The sequence below is a fragment of the Homo sapiens genome, chromosome 6, assembly GCF_000001405.40.
Source record: "Homo sapiens chromosome 6, GRCh38.p14 Primary Assembly".
Taxonomy (NCBI): domain Eukaryota; kingdom Metazoa; phylum Chordata; class Mammalia; order Primates; family Hominidae; genus Homo; species Homo sapiens.
Window position 1 is genome coordinate 142,867,699 of NC_000006.12, and position 18,681 is coordinate 142,886,379.

Sequence of the window (18,681 nt, forward strand, 5' to 3'; positions counted from 1 at the left end):
TGTGCTAAAAGAATTTGTGTATGCTGCCAGTTACTTAGAAAACATGTGGACAAATATATGCTTTCAGTAACTAACGCATTAATAAAGGTGGATTCGCATGCAAGACTTGGTTGCTATCCTAGTGGTTTTAAGGCAATAACAATTCCAATAGGATCCCATATGAATTTCTTGAAACGTTGTGCTAGAATAGGTCATTTATTTTTGCACAGGTTCCTATTCTTGCAAATAAAAATAAATTTCCAACAGTCTCACGGTCATCCATTGAATAACATGACTTCAAGTCCTATATACTGTCATTTTATACCTCTAATCTGGCATAGATTAGAAACAGAAAGGAAAATTATGCATATAATCTTAAAACTAGAAAGATCACATTGCAAGTCAGCTGTGTCAGTAATTTCCGCTTTCAGGAGTTACACAATGCTTAAACAATAGTTATCCTACCGGGCTACAGTTCACTTAACCTCACAGTCCAGCTGATGATTGATGAAGGGTCAAGAGGGTAGCAGACTTTGGGTGCACAACACTTCAATCCTTTATCAAAAATGGCAAGAGGCCACATACTACAATAACGGAACAAATACTTCCTTTTACCGTACAGTAAATTCCTTCCTCTGATTGGCTAAAGCTTCAGTGCATGGTTCACAAGAACAAAAATACATTCTATCATGAGCAAAACACATTTTAAAGAGCAATCACTTAAATCTCGGGCCAAGTGAAATGTCTATATCCCTATAATAATTAATAACCAAGTATGTCTATTTGTCTCCTTATGCTAAAATGTCCATGAAAGAGTTGATAAGTGGACTTCTGAAATCTAACTCTTCAGCTCATGTTGCACAAATCCTTATTCATCAAGACACACACCCAACTATAAAGGCAATTAAACTTTTCAGTATGTGCATGAGGAATACCCAGAATGATCTAATTCAATATAGGGCAAACTACAATACTACTTCCATCTTTGAAAGTTTTTAAAAAGCCCTATCCAGATCATTATTATAAATTAATTCAGAATCAGGGGATATATCTATTTTGAAAGAAAATAAGGGGATAAAACATTATTTCAAATGTGTGAAATTCTGGTTAATTGGATTATATTATGGTAAATAAGGGTTAATCAGAAAACACTTATCCTAACCCATGTTGTTGAAAAATCTTATTTTTCATAATTGATAAGTATTGCCTCTGTAAGTATAGCATTTTCTCCTTTTTAGTGTAAGTCTGAACATCGATTCAAATTTGTAGAATAATGTAGATTTAGGTTAGGTAGAAGATTTAAATATAATGTTGAAAATCCTAGATCAGTGGTTCTCGGCCAAGGGTGATTTTGCCCCCTAGGGGATATTTGGCAATGTCTGGAGACATTTTTTATTGTCACAACTGGGGAGAAGGAAAACTACTGGTATCTATTGGGTAGCTGGCCAGGAATGCTGCTAAACATTCTACATTGCACATGACAGCCCCTCCACAACAAAGAATTATCTGGAACCAAATGTCAACAATGCCAAGGTTGAGAAATCCTGGCCTAGATGTTGCTTTAAAAAATAAATTACTGATAGTATGTCATGCTTTCTTCTAGCTACCTACCTCTTCCCTGAAAAATGAAGTGCATGTAGCCAAAAAAAAGTATATTATAGCTAATCAAAATTTTATTCCATAAAAACAAATTCATTTGATAAATATATATAGTATCAACTATGTACAAATTTCTGACTCAGAATAAAAAAATTATTTCATAAAAATAATGTGTTCAAATGTAATACCCAAATCAATGCAGTCTTTACACATTAATGTGTGTGAAATAACTAATTTTAAAATTTGTTTTCAGTATTTTAAAAATTCTGAAGTACTATACTGAATTTTCTCTGATCACTTTCCCACGTCTTAACTCACTTGATTTTTAGCATGACAAATAGGGCACTCCAACTTTTAAAGCTATTTATAATCTCAGAACCCAAAGAAATAAATGTAAAAGTGTATCGCCACTTTTAAAATTTAAAATGTATTAAAAATGTATACTGAATCACAGATTAACCAGTTAAATCAAACTAAGAGTTACGTTATATATACATTAATTATTTTACTCTACTCTCCAACTTCATTTTATTAACACAGTGACCCAAAAAGGCTTGGGTTGAAAGGGTATTAATACTATTAATCTTGTAAAACACACACATGTTCAACCATTAGATAGGTGTTCATTACCTTCCTTCTTAGCAAAAAGAGAAGACTGACCCTTAATTTCTCCCACAGAACACTGATCCAAAGTGGCCCTTCACAGAGATTGAAATGCAAGCCTCACTCAGAGGCCACAAAGAGACAGGGGACTCTTAAAACCATCTGGCAGCCGTGACCACTGAAGGGCTGCGCATTCATGTTCTACATATCACAGACAGAAGGTCCTGGATCCCCACCAAGACCCACCTGGGTCTGCAGCAGCCCACACCCTGCCAATCCTTTGGGGTTCAGCACCAAAGGTTATTATTGACTTGAACATTTTTATACAGCAGAGAAGGACCCATGGGTTGGAATGAAGAAATATGTCCAGAATCCAGGAGGTCTGCTTCCTCACCGCACTCTCACTGACCACATGCCTGTGAGCCAGTCCTTGAGTGTCTCTGAGGCTCAGTATACATATCTGTAAAACAGGTGTTGTTGGGAGGATTAAATGAAATCAATGTACATGAAAGAACTTTATAAACTGCCAGGCCCCATAAAGCGCATGAATTTGTTTTTTGCGGAATGTACAATAGGGCCTCTCCTTCTTCTTTCTCTGACGTCCCATGAGCATCCTCCTGCCCCCTTTTATTTACTCTCAAGAGACAGGTCATCAAACTGAACCAAATCCCATCAGATAGAATCCACAACAGTCTGAGAGATGCGAATGATACATTCCATCACTTTAACATGGAACTCTATTTCTTCCTGTAATCTGTATTGAGTGGCAAGTGCTCTGGGTGCATTACTTCAGTTAGGCTTCACAACAACCCTACCATATAATAATCATCCCTGTTCTACCAGCAGAAAAGTGAAGCACAAAAAGATTTAAAACTCACCTGATTTTCACAAAGCTAGAATTGAGGGAACCAGGACAGGAGGCAAGCCCATTTAATTCCAGAGCCCACACTCTTAACCCCTACCACAAACAACCTCCCATTTTAAAAATAGAGTTGTTTCTAAAACCAAATACCAATTTTTGTAAAGTGAGCCTCACAGTGTGCTGAGAGCCAAGCAATGTACAATTACCATACCATATAGATATACTGAATCTTTTCACTTTGTACACCTACTCTTCCCAACTTTCTCTTGGTCAGGACACTGAAAGCGGGACCAGTGAAACCGACATTTTGCCTAAAACATGGTTCTACCAGTGATTTTCTTAAGTTCAAGAAGAAAGTCGCTTCTCCACTGAGATATTTACAATCATCTCTGACATTGCAGAAGTGAATTACTGGTATGTTTGATGAGATGATGCAATCAATGAATATGTGAAAATAATGGTGATAATAATACATGCTTATTCATAACACTTCCAGGTTACAGAATGCTTCCATTATACATTATCTCACAAGACTGGATCATCCAGCCATGAGGGGAAGAAAAGATGTGCAAATATTGGAAGGAAAAAGGTAAGCCAAGCGTCAGAGTAACCAAGGAGAGAACTAGTGCCCAGGGTTCTTGCTTATTCATTCTACAATGAAAACTGAAATTTTGGAACTTCTGAAGGACTAGAAAAGAACACATATCTTGTGATTCCAAAATAATTTTGAAATATTTTCCTTTTATGCAAGACCATAAAACAAAACAAAACAAAAACTTTATTAAAATAATTCTATCTGCATTTTTATATTATAAATATAATCCTAGAAATACAAAATTTACCTTATGGAGTACATTGTGTGAATAGATCAGAAGTAAAAAAAAAAAATCACAAAAATACATAAGTAGAAAAGTACAATGTTTGCATTAATACCCTATTTGGCCCCCATCCATTTTTATCTCTCCTCTCCCTAATTACTACTAGCCACTGCAGGCAGTTATAATGACTTAGTTTGCCTATCCCCTCCAGGCTTAATACAGGACTTTATAAGGGACTCAACTAAGGCATGAAATGGTTAATTGATGGAAATTAGGTACTATAAAATAAATGGCACACAGACAAGCCACCCTAAATTCAGCTGAAATGCAACTTTGAGCAAAAGCAAACCACAAATTTAATAGCACTACAACAAAAAATGTTCCTTTTGAACTTGACAGTTCCCAGTCATTCAGCCCAGAGTAACACACAGGGAACAGTCCTCAGAAAGTTCTGTGGTGTCTTCTGAATCACTGCCATTACCCGAGAAAACCCCAGGAAGTGGTTTGACTGAGTAGCTGGACCAGTGCGTAGGTATCAGCTGATGTCTCTCACACATACAAGTCAGTAACAATGGGGACACTGTGAAACCAGGAATAACCTTCCTTATCTTTAGTAGTTGGGGAAATCATTTCTAACTCAGTGAGTATATAACTTGGGAACAGGTCAAATGGTTAATTATTCACTGAGAGCTTAGTAATTAATCTGCGTTAGATCAAATATCATCAGACCTGAATAACATAAGGATGTCCGATGTCTGGAACAATGAGTCTTTGGAATCGCTTCCATAAAGCAGCAATCTTTCCTAAACAGTTATGTCCAACAAAGAACAAAGCCTAAATGCAGGCAGCTGTTGGCAAAAACTAATCAAAATGGACCGTGATTTCATAAAACCTTTCAAAGTCAGTTTATTTTAAAATATAAGTTGATGCCATCTTTTTCTGCTCCAGCAAATGGTTGGAGCAAACCATACTATTAGGTGAAACTCCAGCTGCTGATAAATCTGGGCGGTGGCAAGCCAGTGAGCTCACCCGGAAGAAAACCATGCAGTCACAGAGTCCATCCTCACATGTCTTTATCTAACAACCAAAGGAAACCAAAGGAAAAGGTCCAAGACATCCTGCCAAACCAAAACTAAGAGAGATACTGTGATTTATCTAAACCCAGAGATATGAACTAACTAGCTACCTCTTTTCTGTAACAGAAGTTAGCCCTTTAATGGCCACGATTGAGGGTCATAAAAGGAAGTTATGATTTCATGCAGTATTGGGTTTTTTACAATTCATAAATTTCCCACTGGATGCTTTTCAGTGTATTATCCCAATGGTTAGCACCTTTTTGACTGATTTGACTATTGTTTTTCTACATTCCCAGCATCTACAATCCCAACTTCTGGAAGTTTTAATTATCCAAAGGATCTAACAAGGTCACAAGGGCAACCATAAGACACAACTTTTACCCATAACAGCAATATTCCCCTCACAAGAAGAATCTGCAATTCCAATTCTAAAGCATTACACAGCAACCCTTTTTTACAGACACCACACAGCTTTGACCCCAGCAAGAGCCCACTGCACAGAAACATAGAACAGACTCACCTGCCTTCAACACTCAGCAGTATATGTACCAAGAGCTCTCCAGCTCTCCTGTGCGAAGCCACAGCCACCTTTTGGGAAATCCTTTATATCTACTCACTAGAAAAAAAATGGCTGTGTGCCCCCAATCCAAACAAGACATTTAAAGAAGCAGACTTTTTTCTTATCTCTACTTTCCCAAAAGAAGTGGATACCTTAAAAACAAGCTGTATATTCAAAACAGCAAATTCTGGGATGGACTGAGAATTAATCCAATCACCACCATTATTTTGAACACCAATACTATTGACTAGTAAATGAGGTACACCATGATTTACCACAGGCTTACATATACGAAGTGTCTTTTATGTTATTAAAACTTAAAAAATCATTGTAAGTATAATTGACTACATTATTTGAAAACAATTAATCCATGAATGGAATATATGATTATTCTCAATTTTGAGCACACATTTTCCAGCCACTCTGGATTGAGAGAAATACACCATTTGCGTATACTGAATCTGGCATGATCATATAGCGCTAGGTTCATATATTGCATGAAAAAACAAGCCTTCTCCCCATTACCTCTTCCTATCCTGGCCCATGGGAATTTTAAGAACAGCCTCCAACAGAATAATAAATTAACATATTCATAAAAAGAATAGATGAGGTGTTCCCTAGCTCCTGAATTTTTTTAAGTTGACCAATAATTTTTCAAATTATCTAAGGAATGAGCAACATCCTTCTAAAATACTGAGTTTTCTGGGATCTGACCAACATCAAAAGAAACACACAGTTGCACCAATCCCTGAGCAGTTAGCATGACTTCGGTCTGAAATGGGAGGACACACCATACTTAAATTGACCCACTGCAAATGGTTCCCCTCCACTCAGCCATTTGCTATTAAAAGAACCAAGCTGTTCTGAAGATAAGCAGGAAGAGGATATTCAAAACGTGTAGGCGGGATATTTTCACAGAGCTTCTCTAAATTCCAAATACCTGAACAAACTGAACCAAATTAAAAACTCAAGTTTTTAACCTGAGTTAATAAAAAACAATGTTCACTTCCTTTTTCAACTACTCATGAATATATAAAAACTTAAATGAAATAAAAATCTATAACAAAACTTTTGGTAAGGTTGCTTACAAATGTTTTCAAAACACCATGATACCAGAAGTTTAAATTTCCATTTTTAGATTTTTTTTTCTCCAGCTCAGGCTTAACAAAGATATACCTGTTTAGTTGCTTTTTTAAAAAATCTATTTTTATCCCATATAAATTAGTAAGCAGACCAAGCATGATTATTGTTTTGAAATCAGTGTTTTCGGTAGACAGCACACCCTTATTGAATTATAAGGCATGTACTGAGTATATCCTATATGCTATCACCAAGGAGGTTCAAAAGAGTTATGACTATAAACCATAGCCCTATGCCTAAGGACTAACAACTAGGACAGGAAAGACATGTATATATAAAACAATTATACTCTTCTATGAGGGGTAGAGTCAAAAGAGAAGAAGGAAAATTATTGACAAATGCAGCCAGCAAGGACCAAAAAGAAGGACACTCAGGAGGGAAGAGAATGAGCAAAGGCCTGAAGATCTGAATAAACATGGTCCATTTATAGGACCTTAAGGAGGTCAACTGGACTGGATCAGAGGGCTTAGAGACACGATAAGAATTAAAACTGGCTAGGTAGGGCAGGGTCAGAGGTCCCCTGTCCTGACACCTTTGGTTTACAGATAAGGAAGCTAGGCTCAAAGTGGTGAATGAGTCAACAAATTCTTTAAGTGCTTCCTATACACCATCTTCTCTACTAGGCACTGAGATGCAGAGGTGAATAATAAAATGTCAGTGACCTCAGGGAGTCCACACTGGGGACAGACAGACAAAAAATACATCAACTATTAAGTTGATCATTTCAGATTCTGATCATTTCTATGAAGTAAAAAATGCAATAAAAACTGAACTAGGGATGGATTAAGGAAACTGCTCAAACTTGGGTCACAGGTGGCCTGTCCAAAGAAGGGACATTTGAGTTGAGACTTGAACAATGACAAGGAGCCATGCAGGGGATATGCAGGTAAAAAGCACTGCCAGCAGGAAAAGCAGTAAGTGCAAAGACAGGGACAAAAACAAGCTCAGCAAGTTTAAGGAACAGAATGAAGGCCATTATGACTGGAACCTATCTGGGAATGGGGTGTGTAGAGGAAAATGAGCCCAGAGAAGCAGAGCCCTATGGGACATGGTGAATAGCTTGGATTTTATTCTAAAGGTTAGGAGAATGCATCTATTAGATAATTTTTAGCAAGGGAGGGTATTATATAATTTATATTTAATAGGCTACTCTGGGGAGTGTGGAGGCAGGGAAGCCTAGTAAGAGCTTTTGCAGCCTACAAGGACAGATGCTGGTGGCTTGGACTGAAACTATAGCAGAGCAGAGAGTAAGAAGACATAACATTCAGCACTTATTTTGGAGAGAGAGCCAGAAGTACTTACTGGATTAAATGTGAGTCTGGGAGGAAGGAGAGGAATCCAGGATGAATTCTGGAATTATGGCCTGAGCAACAAACATGGTTGATTTAGTGAAACATGGTTCTGTTTGGTGAAATGGAAAGGTTTGGTGGAGGAGCACAGCTGTAGGCAGGGGGACACTGATAGTTCTCTTTTGCCTATTTCAACTTTGATATGTCCATTGGACAGCCAAGTGCATGGATTTAGGAGGAATACAAGTTGAAAATTCATGATAGATCCATTAATGAAAATAAAACTTTGAAAATTATTTAGCATATTGATGATATTCTAAACCATGCTGGGATATCTGCTAGAAAGAGAATTTAGATAAAGAAGATAGGAGGATTTAGATAGAACCCTAAGGGAGTCCAACACTTAGGGGCAGCCTAGCAAATAAGACTGACAGGGAAAGATGGGAGAAAGTGTAGTGTCATGGAAGCTGGGAGGATCAAGCATTTCATTAAACAAGACAGAGTGGTCAACTGTTCAAAACGTTGTAAAGAGTTGAGAAGATGACGACGAAGAATGATCACTGGCTTTGGTAAGATATATGAGAGGTGAGGAACTTAAGACAGTTAGTAAAGATAAATTTGAGGAGTTTTGGTGAACAGTAATGTTTCCAGGGTCACAAAGCAAGTTAAAGCCAAGCAATTTAAAACAGGTCTCTGGATTCCACTTCCTGTGCTATTTTTGTGGCTCTAAGCTACCTGTCATCCTATGGATAATAAAGACCCTCTGAAGAACTTTGAGCAGGAAAGAGGGGTGCTAAAAGAGAGTTATTGTAAAATTAATCTGATAGCAGCGTATGAGATCAATTCAAGACAGAAGCTTCCATAGTAGACAGGTGCAGTGATGAGAGCCTGCATTAGTAGACAGCAAAAATGGAGAGGAATAGGCCATAGGGACAGCTCCAAAGAATGCACAAGGCCAGGGAAAGTTAGAATGATTCCCATTGAGTGCCACTAATCCCAAGAATCATTCAACAAGATAGGAGAAAATAAAGTGATGAAATGCAAAAGGGCTAAGTACTTTTGAAAAATTCTATTATAGGATATGTCACACAATGCCTGTATTTAAAAATAAGACATAGGTCAGGAGTGGTGGCTCACATCTGTAATCCCAGCACTTTGGGAGGCCGAGGGAGGTGGGTTGCTTGAGCCCAAGAGTTTAAGGCCAGCCTGGGCAACGTGGCCAAATCCCATCTTCACACACACACACACACACACACACAAACACAAAATGCAAACATTAGTTGAGCGTGGTGGCATGGGCCTATAGTCGCAGCTACTCAGGAGGCTGAAGTGAGAGGATCACTTGAGCCCAGGGGGTTGAGATTGCAGTAAGCTGAGATCGCACCACTGCACTCCAGGGGGTGCAACAGAGTGACACCCTGTCTCAAATAAAAACATTAAAGTAAATAAAGGTAAAAATAAGGCATAACAGTTTCTACAAAAGTATCAACTTTGTATATTTTTGCCCTTTTCTTTATTATCATATATTATCACTTTTACCATTGTTAATGCTTTGAACAACATATAAACTAGTCTTATTGGCCATCTTCACCATGTAGTCCAACCTGTGCACTAACAAGCTCATGAAGTACACATATATCTAGTTAGTTTTAATCAAGAATGCCCTCTTTAATTATTCAAGTTTTATTAGGTGACTGCTAAGTAACTAAGGCCAAGTGAAGAAAATATGGCCACAATATAAGAAAATATGGCCACAATATAAATCAGTATTTCCAATGAATACCACAATACAAATTTTTATTTAATTCCCCAGAAAGTAAATAATGTAATATCACAGTTCAGAACTGAAATTCCTTTTCCAGAACATTTCCATTCAACACTATTTAGGATTTACACATCTTGTTCCCGCCCTAAAATGGTTTACTACCAAAGTCCAAATTGTATCTCATTCCAATGTATTGTGCATCATTCTACACCTTTGGTTAAATTAGAGAAAGTAAAGAGAAAAAAAAAATCCAAAGTTTGGCAGTTGAGCCCTTCATACTCCTAAACTATATCTTTACTGACCTTTTAATTCCAACATGTGAAAGGCACTAGAAAAATTAGGAGACTTCCTGAGATCACAGCCTCCTGAGAAACTATGCTATTGTCCCCAAAAGAAATACACTGGTACAAGGGAGTGAGGTACCATGAGGTACAATGAGGATTATAACATGGGCTTGTAAAAGGTATTTCAACTATTCTTTAGCTTTTGTGATTAGAAAGATGTATTGCTTGATCGTGGAAATGCAAGTGAAAGAATGCAAAGGCAAAATTTCCAAACAAGTGCTGGGATTGTGTGTTTCTGTGTGTGTGTATGTGTGTGTGTGTCTTAACATGGAGCCCAAAAGGTGATGCAGCACTCTTCCAATATATTATTTAACTAATCCTCATGAACATATTTCCATCACTGATTTTTATAGGAGTGGAGGCAATCTTGATATTCTCGGCAATTGTCAGGCATATTTCTGATATCATTTAAACTTCTGATGCAGTAAATTGTCTCCAAAAAACTCTGTCAAAATCCACATGACATTGGCTTCAGCACAATGAGAAAATGATGGAAACAGAGTGTACTCTAAAATCACGTTAACACAGACTCATTAATCACTGCATAGCTAACAAATGTTCCCAATTTCAACATGTATTTCAAAGCACAGCTCTACACCCTTCTGTATACATAATTTTCCAAACGATTCACAGCTAAATGGCAACGAATTTATACATCCATTAAGATAACAACTGAGAATACATTTTGAAACAAGTATTCAGACCTAGAGTTTCTGTGGGTGTGAATTCATGAATTCAAAGCCTATTTCTCGCCTTACTGGTGACAGCAACTGAAGCAGGAAGGGATGGTGCCGGCAGTGGTCAAAAGCTGTCCATAACCCCATGTGAAGTCAGTGGCAACCGTCTCCAAGTTCCATATGAGACAAGCAGGCACTGAGGATGACATCAGGGAAGTACAGAGTGTTTTCTGTGCCTCCCCAGATGTCCTGGCAGGAGACAGGCTTTTCCCAATCTAAGGGAAAACCAGCCAGGAAATGTGTCTCAGTTGACAGCCCCAGATCACAACTTCTGAGTGGTGATAAAAAGTGACTGTAGGGACACTGAGAGGCCTCTCTGCAATCCTGCTGGGACTGAAGGCACCTCGCCTCATCATCCTAATTACAGAAATCCTAAGGTTAGAATGGAGATGGGGCTCCAAGGTGAGGACATGGTATGGGGCAAAGGACCTTGGACTTGAACTCAGAAGACTTGATATCTATCTCTGGCTCTGCCACTCATGAACTGTGTGGCCCTGGATATGTCATCTAACATGTCTGATCCTCTATTATGTTATTTATAAACTTAGAAAAAGAGAAATATATATCCTCACTATCATACGGCTTTTGTAAGAATTCAATGAGATTATGTGTGTAAGAGTCATTGGTAAATTACGAAAGCCGGCAAAAATGGCGATTTCTCACTTTATGGAGGGGCACATCCTTTATACTGTAGGCAATGGGTACTCAGTGAAGCTTTTAGATCTTCACAGTAACCTATTAAACGTGATGTTTTAAGAAGATGAGCCTTGTAGTGGAATAAGGAACTGACCACAAACAGAGTAATTTGAGTCAGGAGCACCAGCTAAGAGGCTGTAGTAGACCAGGCATGATGAAGTAGAATCTTTCTATGGTAGTGGCACTTACACTATCCAGCAGGGAGCTTTTGAGGAAGAACATGGATGTTGAATGTTGAGCACAGCGTCAATAATAAATTAGAGATGATTATTCTCTGAGCTCCCGTTATAATAAACTCCATCCTCCAACCTCTTGAGCCCTCCACTAGCACTGCAAATTCAACCCCATTATCCTCTTGACCTGCTCCTTCTCCTCTATCTCAAACTCAGATCCCCACTTGCTAATGCAAGACCCCCTTCTCTCCTTGGTTTTCACTTCTTCACAGCTGCTGGAGTGGCTCTTTGCTCTCATGTTGACTTTGGGTCCCTGATTCTCAACCATCCCAGGCCATCTGACTTCAGCTGTCTGAGCAGCTGCAGATCACACAGTCAGATACTTCATTAACACCCTCCCCAGGCTTCCACAGTCTCTTCTCCAGGCAGCCTTCCAGCCTCCTTCTGACCCTCCCATGCCCGTCTCCAAACATGGCTCACCCACAGGCTGCGTTCTGTTTCCCTGGTTTAAACTGCAATCCCAGCAAAAGTCACTCAATAGTGCCACATGGGCCATGATCTCTGACTTCCAATGAATTCTTTGAGGACCAAGACTATGTCTTGTTCATATTGTATCTACAGGGACTAGCATAGAACCTGGCATATAGAATACCCTCAATTGAACACCAATTTCAGTGAATGAAATTGATAATTTGGAAACTCTATAATTCATCTCTCCTATAATGGTGCTTTTCTTGGCGTCCACCTACCCCCTCACTACTCCTCTTAGTCATCTTTATTAGATTCTATTATTCATTCGTCCCCAAAGCAGGAATATTTCCCAGGATTCTAAACTCAGCTCTCATATTCTCTCTTTGCTCTCTCTCCAGCAGAGAACAGTTCCCACCAGCAAACACAGTAGAATGTCAAGACATTTCAGATATTCACCCTCACTAGGACCCAAATTCAATGCTCCTGCCAACAACCCCATAACTTGCACCCTCCCCCAGATGGTGAAGCCACACCAAAAAAATTGACTCCAATGAGAAGGAACAAAGGTCAGAGAGGAATTGGACCCTCCCAGTGGAGACAGCTGAGCCTCAAGTGGGACTGACAGGCAAGCCTTTGCCACCAGACACAGTCACCAGCGTGTCCTACATTGATGACAAAGAAGCCTCTCTTCTCAGGGATCATTACTTGCCTTTAAAAGTCCAGATTCTCTGAGGCCTGGGAGCTTTATACCTTTAAAGGCATTCGGTGTCCTCTCTTTGAGACAGTCTTCCATATCCAAGAGAAAGGTTTGCTTCAGCACTTCATTACAAACGGGGAAAGCTGCCCTACACCTCTGAGATCCTAGTCCAAACCTGTCCATTTGGCCTGCGTGGCTCAGACTCTCTTTGATCAAGTCCCCAGGCAAAGTTCGGCCTACAACTGGGCTCTTCCTAGATTCCCTCCATCCATCAATGCCTTGGCACAATTTGAGGCCACAATCACAACTGCAGGTTCCTCACACCCTCATCTCGACAGAACAGTTATATAAAATAAAATGTGTCTTCTCCCCAGCAGTTCTGGTCTCAGTTACTGGCATTTCCATTCCTTGAACCACTGGGGTTCAGACGTAAGGCATCTTTAACATCTCTAGTACTCAGTTTGGATCAAGCATGAAATGTCATTTTTTTTCCCCATACTAGACTCAAGTTTCTTGAGGAAATAAGTTTTTATCTTATGCTTTATGGTTAAAATGCATAGATCCTCTTTCATGGTTTTACTGTATGTTTCTGAACCTTCTTAAGCTTGTTCCCTCAGGAGGGAAATAAATTCTTTATTGGACTATGCCATGTGGCCTTATGAATACCTCTCCACTCATATAAAACTAACCTAAATAACAGAAGGAAACAATTTTGGATATGGCCTTATCCAGTTCACACGAGTCAGGCTGTGATTTTATGGAAAATTAGGCACTTGTGGGCAATTAGTTGTTTAAATATCTATAAATCATCATGTCAATAATTTTTAAATGTCCAGTTAAAAATTTAAAAGTTTGGAAAGAGAATTTTTTAAGACTAATTCTGTAGCAAGTGAATTAATTCCAAGAAAATGAATGTAGACAACTAGAGCAACCAGATTTGAGACACAGTAAGAATGGCCCTACACATGTTATTAGAGTACATTCCTGTGCATCCTTTAGTTCTGAGGCAATCAGATAGTGTCATCTAACTTTAGTGAAGTTAGAAGAATGCCTTTAATAAAAAGTCTTGGACCTGAGTTCTGTCATCTGTATTCGAAAATATGGTCTCTGAGGTCCTGCTTTCAGCTATCAGGATAGTTAGACCTCACAGATCTCCTTCTCTCTTAGAAAATGTATATTCTTCCAAGTAAAAAGAGTAGAATAAAATATTTCCACTAAAATGCACTTATCTCTACATACTATGCCTCCTCAGAGATCTGTGTCTCTCGCTGAGTTCCCAGTCTCATGCTCTATGAAAGTCCTTCCTAAAAGCCACCATTCAACATGAGCTTCTAGTCCTGCTGACTCAAATGATGACATCTTGTTATAGAAATCTGAGTGCCTCACAGTGGATCTACACATCAGTTACTGATGGCCACTGCCAACCTCTGTCACAGGAAGATTAAGATAACACAGTTAAAGCTGTAAACACTGCCCTAATTATCAGAGTTTGCTACCATTATCAGGGCTGCAGGAGGACTCTACCCAGAGTCATCACGCTCTCTCCTGACATCATATATACGAGGTCAGAGCCTTTCAGCTCCTAAGCCCCAGCAGACAAGCTCCAGTGAGCAGAGCTTATCCTTAAGCCACTGTCAATACAATGTGTAATTTTGAGTATAAAGCCCATCCATTTATTAGGCCTTATATTCTTCATCTATAAGGTGACTACAGTGAAGTATGAAACATTTTAAAACTTGGATAATCACTAAGAAGAATTCCTAAAGCTAAAGAGTCCTTCAATACCGATAACTCACTGATTACATAGAAAAGAAGTAGAAGAGGCAGAGGGCAGTAGCTCATGCCTGTAATCCCAGCATGCTGGGAGGCCAAGGTGAGAGGATCACTTGAGGCCAGGAGTTTGAGATCAGCCTGGCCAACACAGTGAGATCCTGTTTCCACAAAAAATAAATAAATAAATAGCCGGGAGTGGTAGTGAGCACCTGTAGTCCTAGCTACTTAGGAGGCTGAGGCAGGAGGATCATTTGAGCTCAGGAAGTCAAGGCTACAATGAGTTATGATCATGCCACTGCACTCCAGCCTGGGTGACAAAGCAAGACTCTGTCTATAAAAAACAGAAAGGGGGGGAGGGGAGGGGAGGGAAAAGAAAGAAAGAATCATATATTCCCTCTCAGAATGAGCTTTAGCAATGGGTCATTCCATTGTTCTGACAGTGTCAATTAGGAATCTTCCTAATTTTGAGGGTTTCTCTTTATCGTTTACATAACGCTGGCGTAATGTACCTTTAAGAAGGTAAAATTCAGTGTCACATTACCTCAATGTTTTAGGTTGGTTTTTGGTGTTAGCTTCACTCTCCTAAACCCTGCAACACAATAGGAAGCTTAGTGAAAGGACCACATATTAACCAGGAAACTCCATCACCTGCACTGACCAAAGCTGATAAACTAACCACCCATACTACATTCAAATAGTCTGATCATCTATAAGTAATAAAAGTGTCTCCATAGAAACCAAGTATACAGGGAAATCTGCTTACAGTACAGGATCTGCTTGAACAAAAAGACTTCACTTCAAGCCAAGATTTTGCTCTAACTTAGGTTTACACATCATCATACACGGATAGCATTCGATATCACACCTTTGGAATTTCACAGTCCTGAAGATTACAAAAAGCTCTGCACATGGAGAGAGAAAGGGGGGAAAAGCTTTGGGAGAAAAGATTTGCATATGTAGTTACAAAAATACCAAAGCAGATTCCATGCTAAGCTCTGCCAAAAAGAGAACAATTACTGTTGCCCATCAGCACGCAGCCTTGAAATTATATTCTCTTCTCCAAGCAGAAGCAGTCATCAGATTATCAAAATGAGGTTATCCTGACTCAATTCAAATAGTTCTTATATGGAATAAGCACAGTGCAATCAACAGACAAGCAGCTATTTCCTTCCCACACAAACTATAATCTTTTGTGAAATATATTTTTAATGAAGAATACATAACCCTCCTACATGTTTACTTCTGCCCTCACACTCCTACACATAAAAGTGCAAATACATTTTAAAGAAAGGGAGAAGAATTTTATAGCTTCTAATAACATCCCTTACAACGTAGGGCAAAGAACAGTAGCATCTGAACTAACCCTCAAATGAAACTTTTTCATATAGTGTGATGCTTATGAAAGTAAAGCTAGTCTCCAGCAGCTCCTCAGGAAAAGTACAATGAAATCGACATAAACAATGGATCTCACCAATATTTTAATAATTTCTTTCTAATTAGATGCATTGTGAAGGCTTAATTCATTCAACTACTAATAACTCAAAACTCACAGAGCTCTGAGCTTTATCTTTTGCAAATTTCAAATTATAAATTTCTTGTCATGAGTCATTCTGCTACTCAAGAAGCAAGTTTTCAAAAGGAAGGTTTTTCTTTTTTGTAGGTAACATTTATAGTGACAGTCATTTTTCTTTCTCCTTTAATCCCTTGAATTTTAAATGTCTAAAATTGAAATAATATGACTTGATGGGTGAAACATTTTTACCATTAGGTTAGCTGATTTGAAATGAGGCTATAAAAATAATTATGAATGTTCATGCCCACTTAACAGAATTGTAAAACAGATAAAAGTTTTAAAATCTCTTTTTCCACTAGGGCTTTTTTATCCTACACACAATATCTGTTTGAGGGTACTGGATCTTGGAATGCATCTCATAATTTGGTTCCTAGGAGGGAAACCATTAAGAAATTAATTACAGTGACAAGCAGCCTTGGTGATCTCTTACATTAAGGGAATATGCCTTTGTTCTGGAAAAAAAAAAGGAATAAAACTTGGTAAGCCAAATCAATAAGTGTCTTTAAAAAAATAGCCTTAGAAGATCAGAAAATCAATTTTGCCTAAATGTGTGAATGATGTAATCCTATTACACTAAAAGGAGTGTTTTAATTTTGCCTAATTGTCATTTAAAAAAAAAAGAACAAAATAATCGCTGAAAAGGTAGACTAAACAAACATCGACAAACCAGTGTCGTTTCATTCACACCTAGAATGATGTCGTTTCATTCACATCAGAAGAGAACCTTGTCTCCTTAACTCAGCAAAAGCTCAAGAATTACTTTTGCAAACAAAGTAGCATAGGGTAAGGATAGAGACAGGAAGAGAAAGAAGAGGAAGAGAAAGAAAAGGAGGAGTTAGGAAGACAGACTAGCAAAAAAGTTTGGGAGATGGACACCGTTATCCAAAAGCAAATGTAGCTGCTGATGCTAGTGACTAAATCTCACTACATCCAGTTCAGGAACCTTATTCACACGTGTGTAAGAAAGAGGTGGGGAAAAAGCAAGACAATGAGAAAACATTTTTGTGCATTCAGTTATAATGCATTTTCACACACATACACAAATGCACTGCTCTGCTCCTCAAAGCATGCTGATAAGAGGTGCACGTTAACTTTCAAAATCACCTCCAGATAGATACCCAAGCATATAGAGATTAAAAACGACACTAAATTCCTACATAGCACTAGGAATGCTGGCACACCTTTAAATTCAAAATCTCTGTTTTTATACAGGATTGTAATAGTCCAGTTGCTCATGGACCAATCTAACTGATTTGGAAAACAAAATCTTAACTAATTGAAGAAAACTCAGTGCCTTCTCCAGTCAACCCCATGGAGTTACTCTGCGCAGCCCATGGCAAGGTTCTGACTGCCAGCTTCTTTAGGTCCAGGAAATGCACCTTTCCCCACACACAGCCATGGAGGAGGGCTAAGAAACAAACTGAGCCAGAATTGCTGCTGTTCACAAAAGGAATTCCCCCTCCCTTCCCCTCCTTCTCCCTCCCCTTTCTTCTCTCGTCCCTCCCCCATCATCGCTGGAGAATAATATCACTCTGCTACCTGCCTTGAGCAACACCGTGAGCCCCTGTCTTCAAGCATTCAGGGAATTTAACAGCCTGGAAATTCCTGTTGTCCATTCGCTGAGGTCACAGATAAAGCTAAACAACAAGCCGTGGTTCCCATCAATCATAAGTCACTCACTGATAGAATGTATGGTAGGAGACCTGATGGAAGCGAGTCACCAGAGAAAATACCCACTGATGACGCATATCCAGGCATAAAAATAGTTACAGGGCCCTCAAAGGGATTATTCAACAGCCTACATTTAGACTTTCTTACAAGAGACCTGAAGTCAACGTGCTGCAGTTAAGTGGCTGGAGAGTTGAAGTTTAAGCTTCCTCAACAGACATAACCACAGAAAGCTGTTTTAAATAAGCTCCCACAATAACAAGCTGTTTAGTAAATTTTAACACAACTTTATAAGCCGTAAACAGTACCACCAACTATCTTATAAAATGCCGCCTAATCTTCTATTTTATTCACTTTCTCCTTCAAATAATGATTTCTCTTCTTTAACTCGTAGTCCCCAAGCAGTAATATTTAATCAGTCCAAAGAAATACAGCCTTACTTGCTTTCCAAATAAACTTTAGGAAAACAACACAAATTGCTTTCTGCATCTATATCTTTATAAAACATGCTTTTAAGTAAAGCTTAATTACAAATTTCACCAAAAATCCTGACATTTTGCCCACTGTATTTGCAGTTATCTTTTTCATGAATTGGTTTGATCCTTTACAGAAATAATTACCACATGTATTACATATACCTACTAAATATGGTATCTTATACAAAGTAGGCATTATTATTGTTTGACAAATGAGTGAGTGAATGGATGAATCAATGAAATGTTATGTGCAAGTATTTTAATTGAGCAAATGACAAGTAAGATGTTAACTAAGACAAATTCTGGTTTTTTTAAATTTTATGAGGAGGGAAATAACTTTTTATATGTATAACCATTTTAATAGTTTTCAAATCATCTGTTCT

The 18,681-nt window shown here is 38.5% G+C and overlaps 1 protein-coding gene across 14 annotated transcripts in view, besides 1 other annotated feature; it reads right to left on the reverse strand.

The window, feature by feature from the left end:
* Positions 1-18,681, reverse strand: part of HIVEP2 (HIVEP zinc finger 2) — a 194,265-nt gene that overhangs the window by 116,230 nt on the left and 59,354 nt on the right. The window contains exon 1 of one of the 14 annotated variants that reach the window (XM_047418716.1): positions 17,694-17,855. The exons of 12 other annotated variants lie outside the window; for them this stretch is intronic. The gene's annotated coding sequence lies outside the window, so the exon portion shown is untranslated. Of the gene's footprint in view, positions 17,856-18,681 lie in introns of those variants that run through there. One more of the 14 variants, XM_047418707.1, reaches the window with a different exon arrangement.
* Positions 17,255-18,454: an enhancer, noted in NCBI's record as "P300/CBP strongly-dependent group 1 enhancer chr6:143206090-143207289 (GRCh37/hg19 assembly coordinates)". NCBI's record gives its function as "activates an origin of replication core promoter dependent on BRD2, BRD4, P300/CBP, MED14 and CDK7 cofactors, with strong dependence on P300/CBP, by STARR-seq in HCT116 cells {active_cell/tissue: HCT116}" and the evidence as "EXISTENCE:reporter gene assay evidence [ECO:0000049][PMID:35650434]".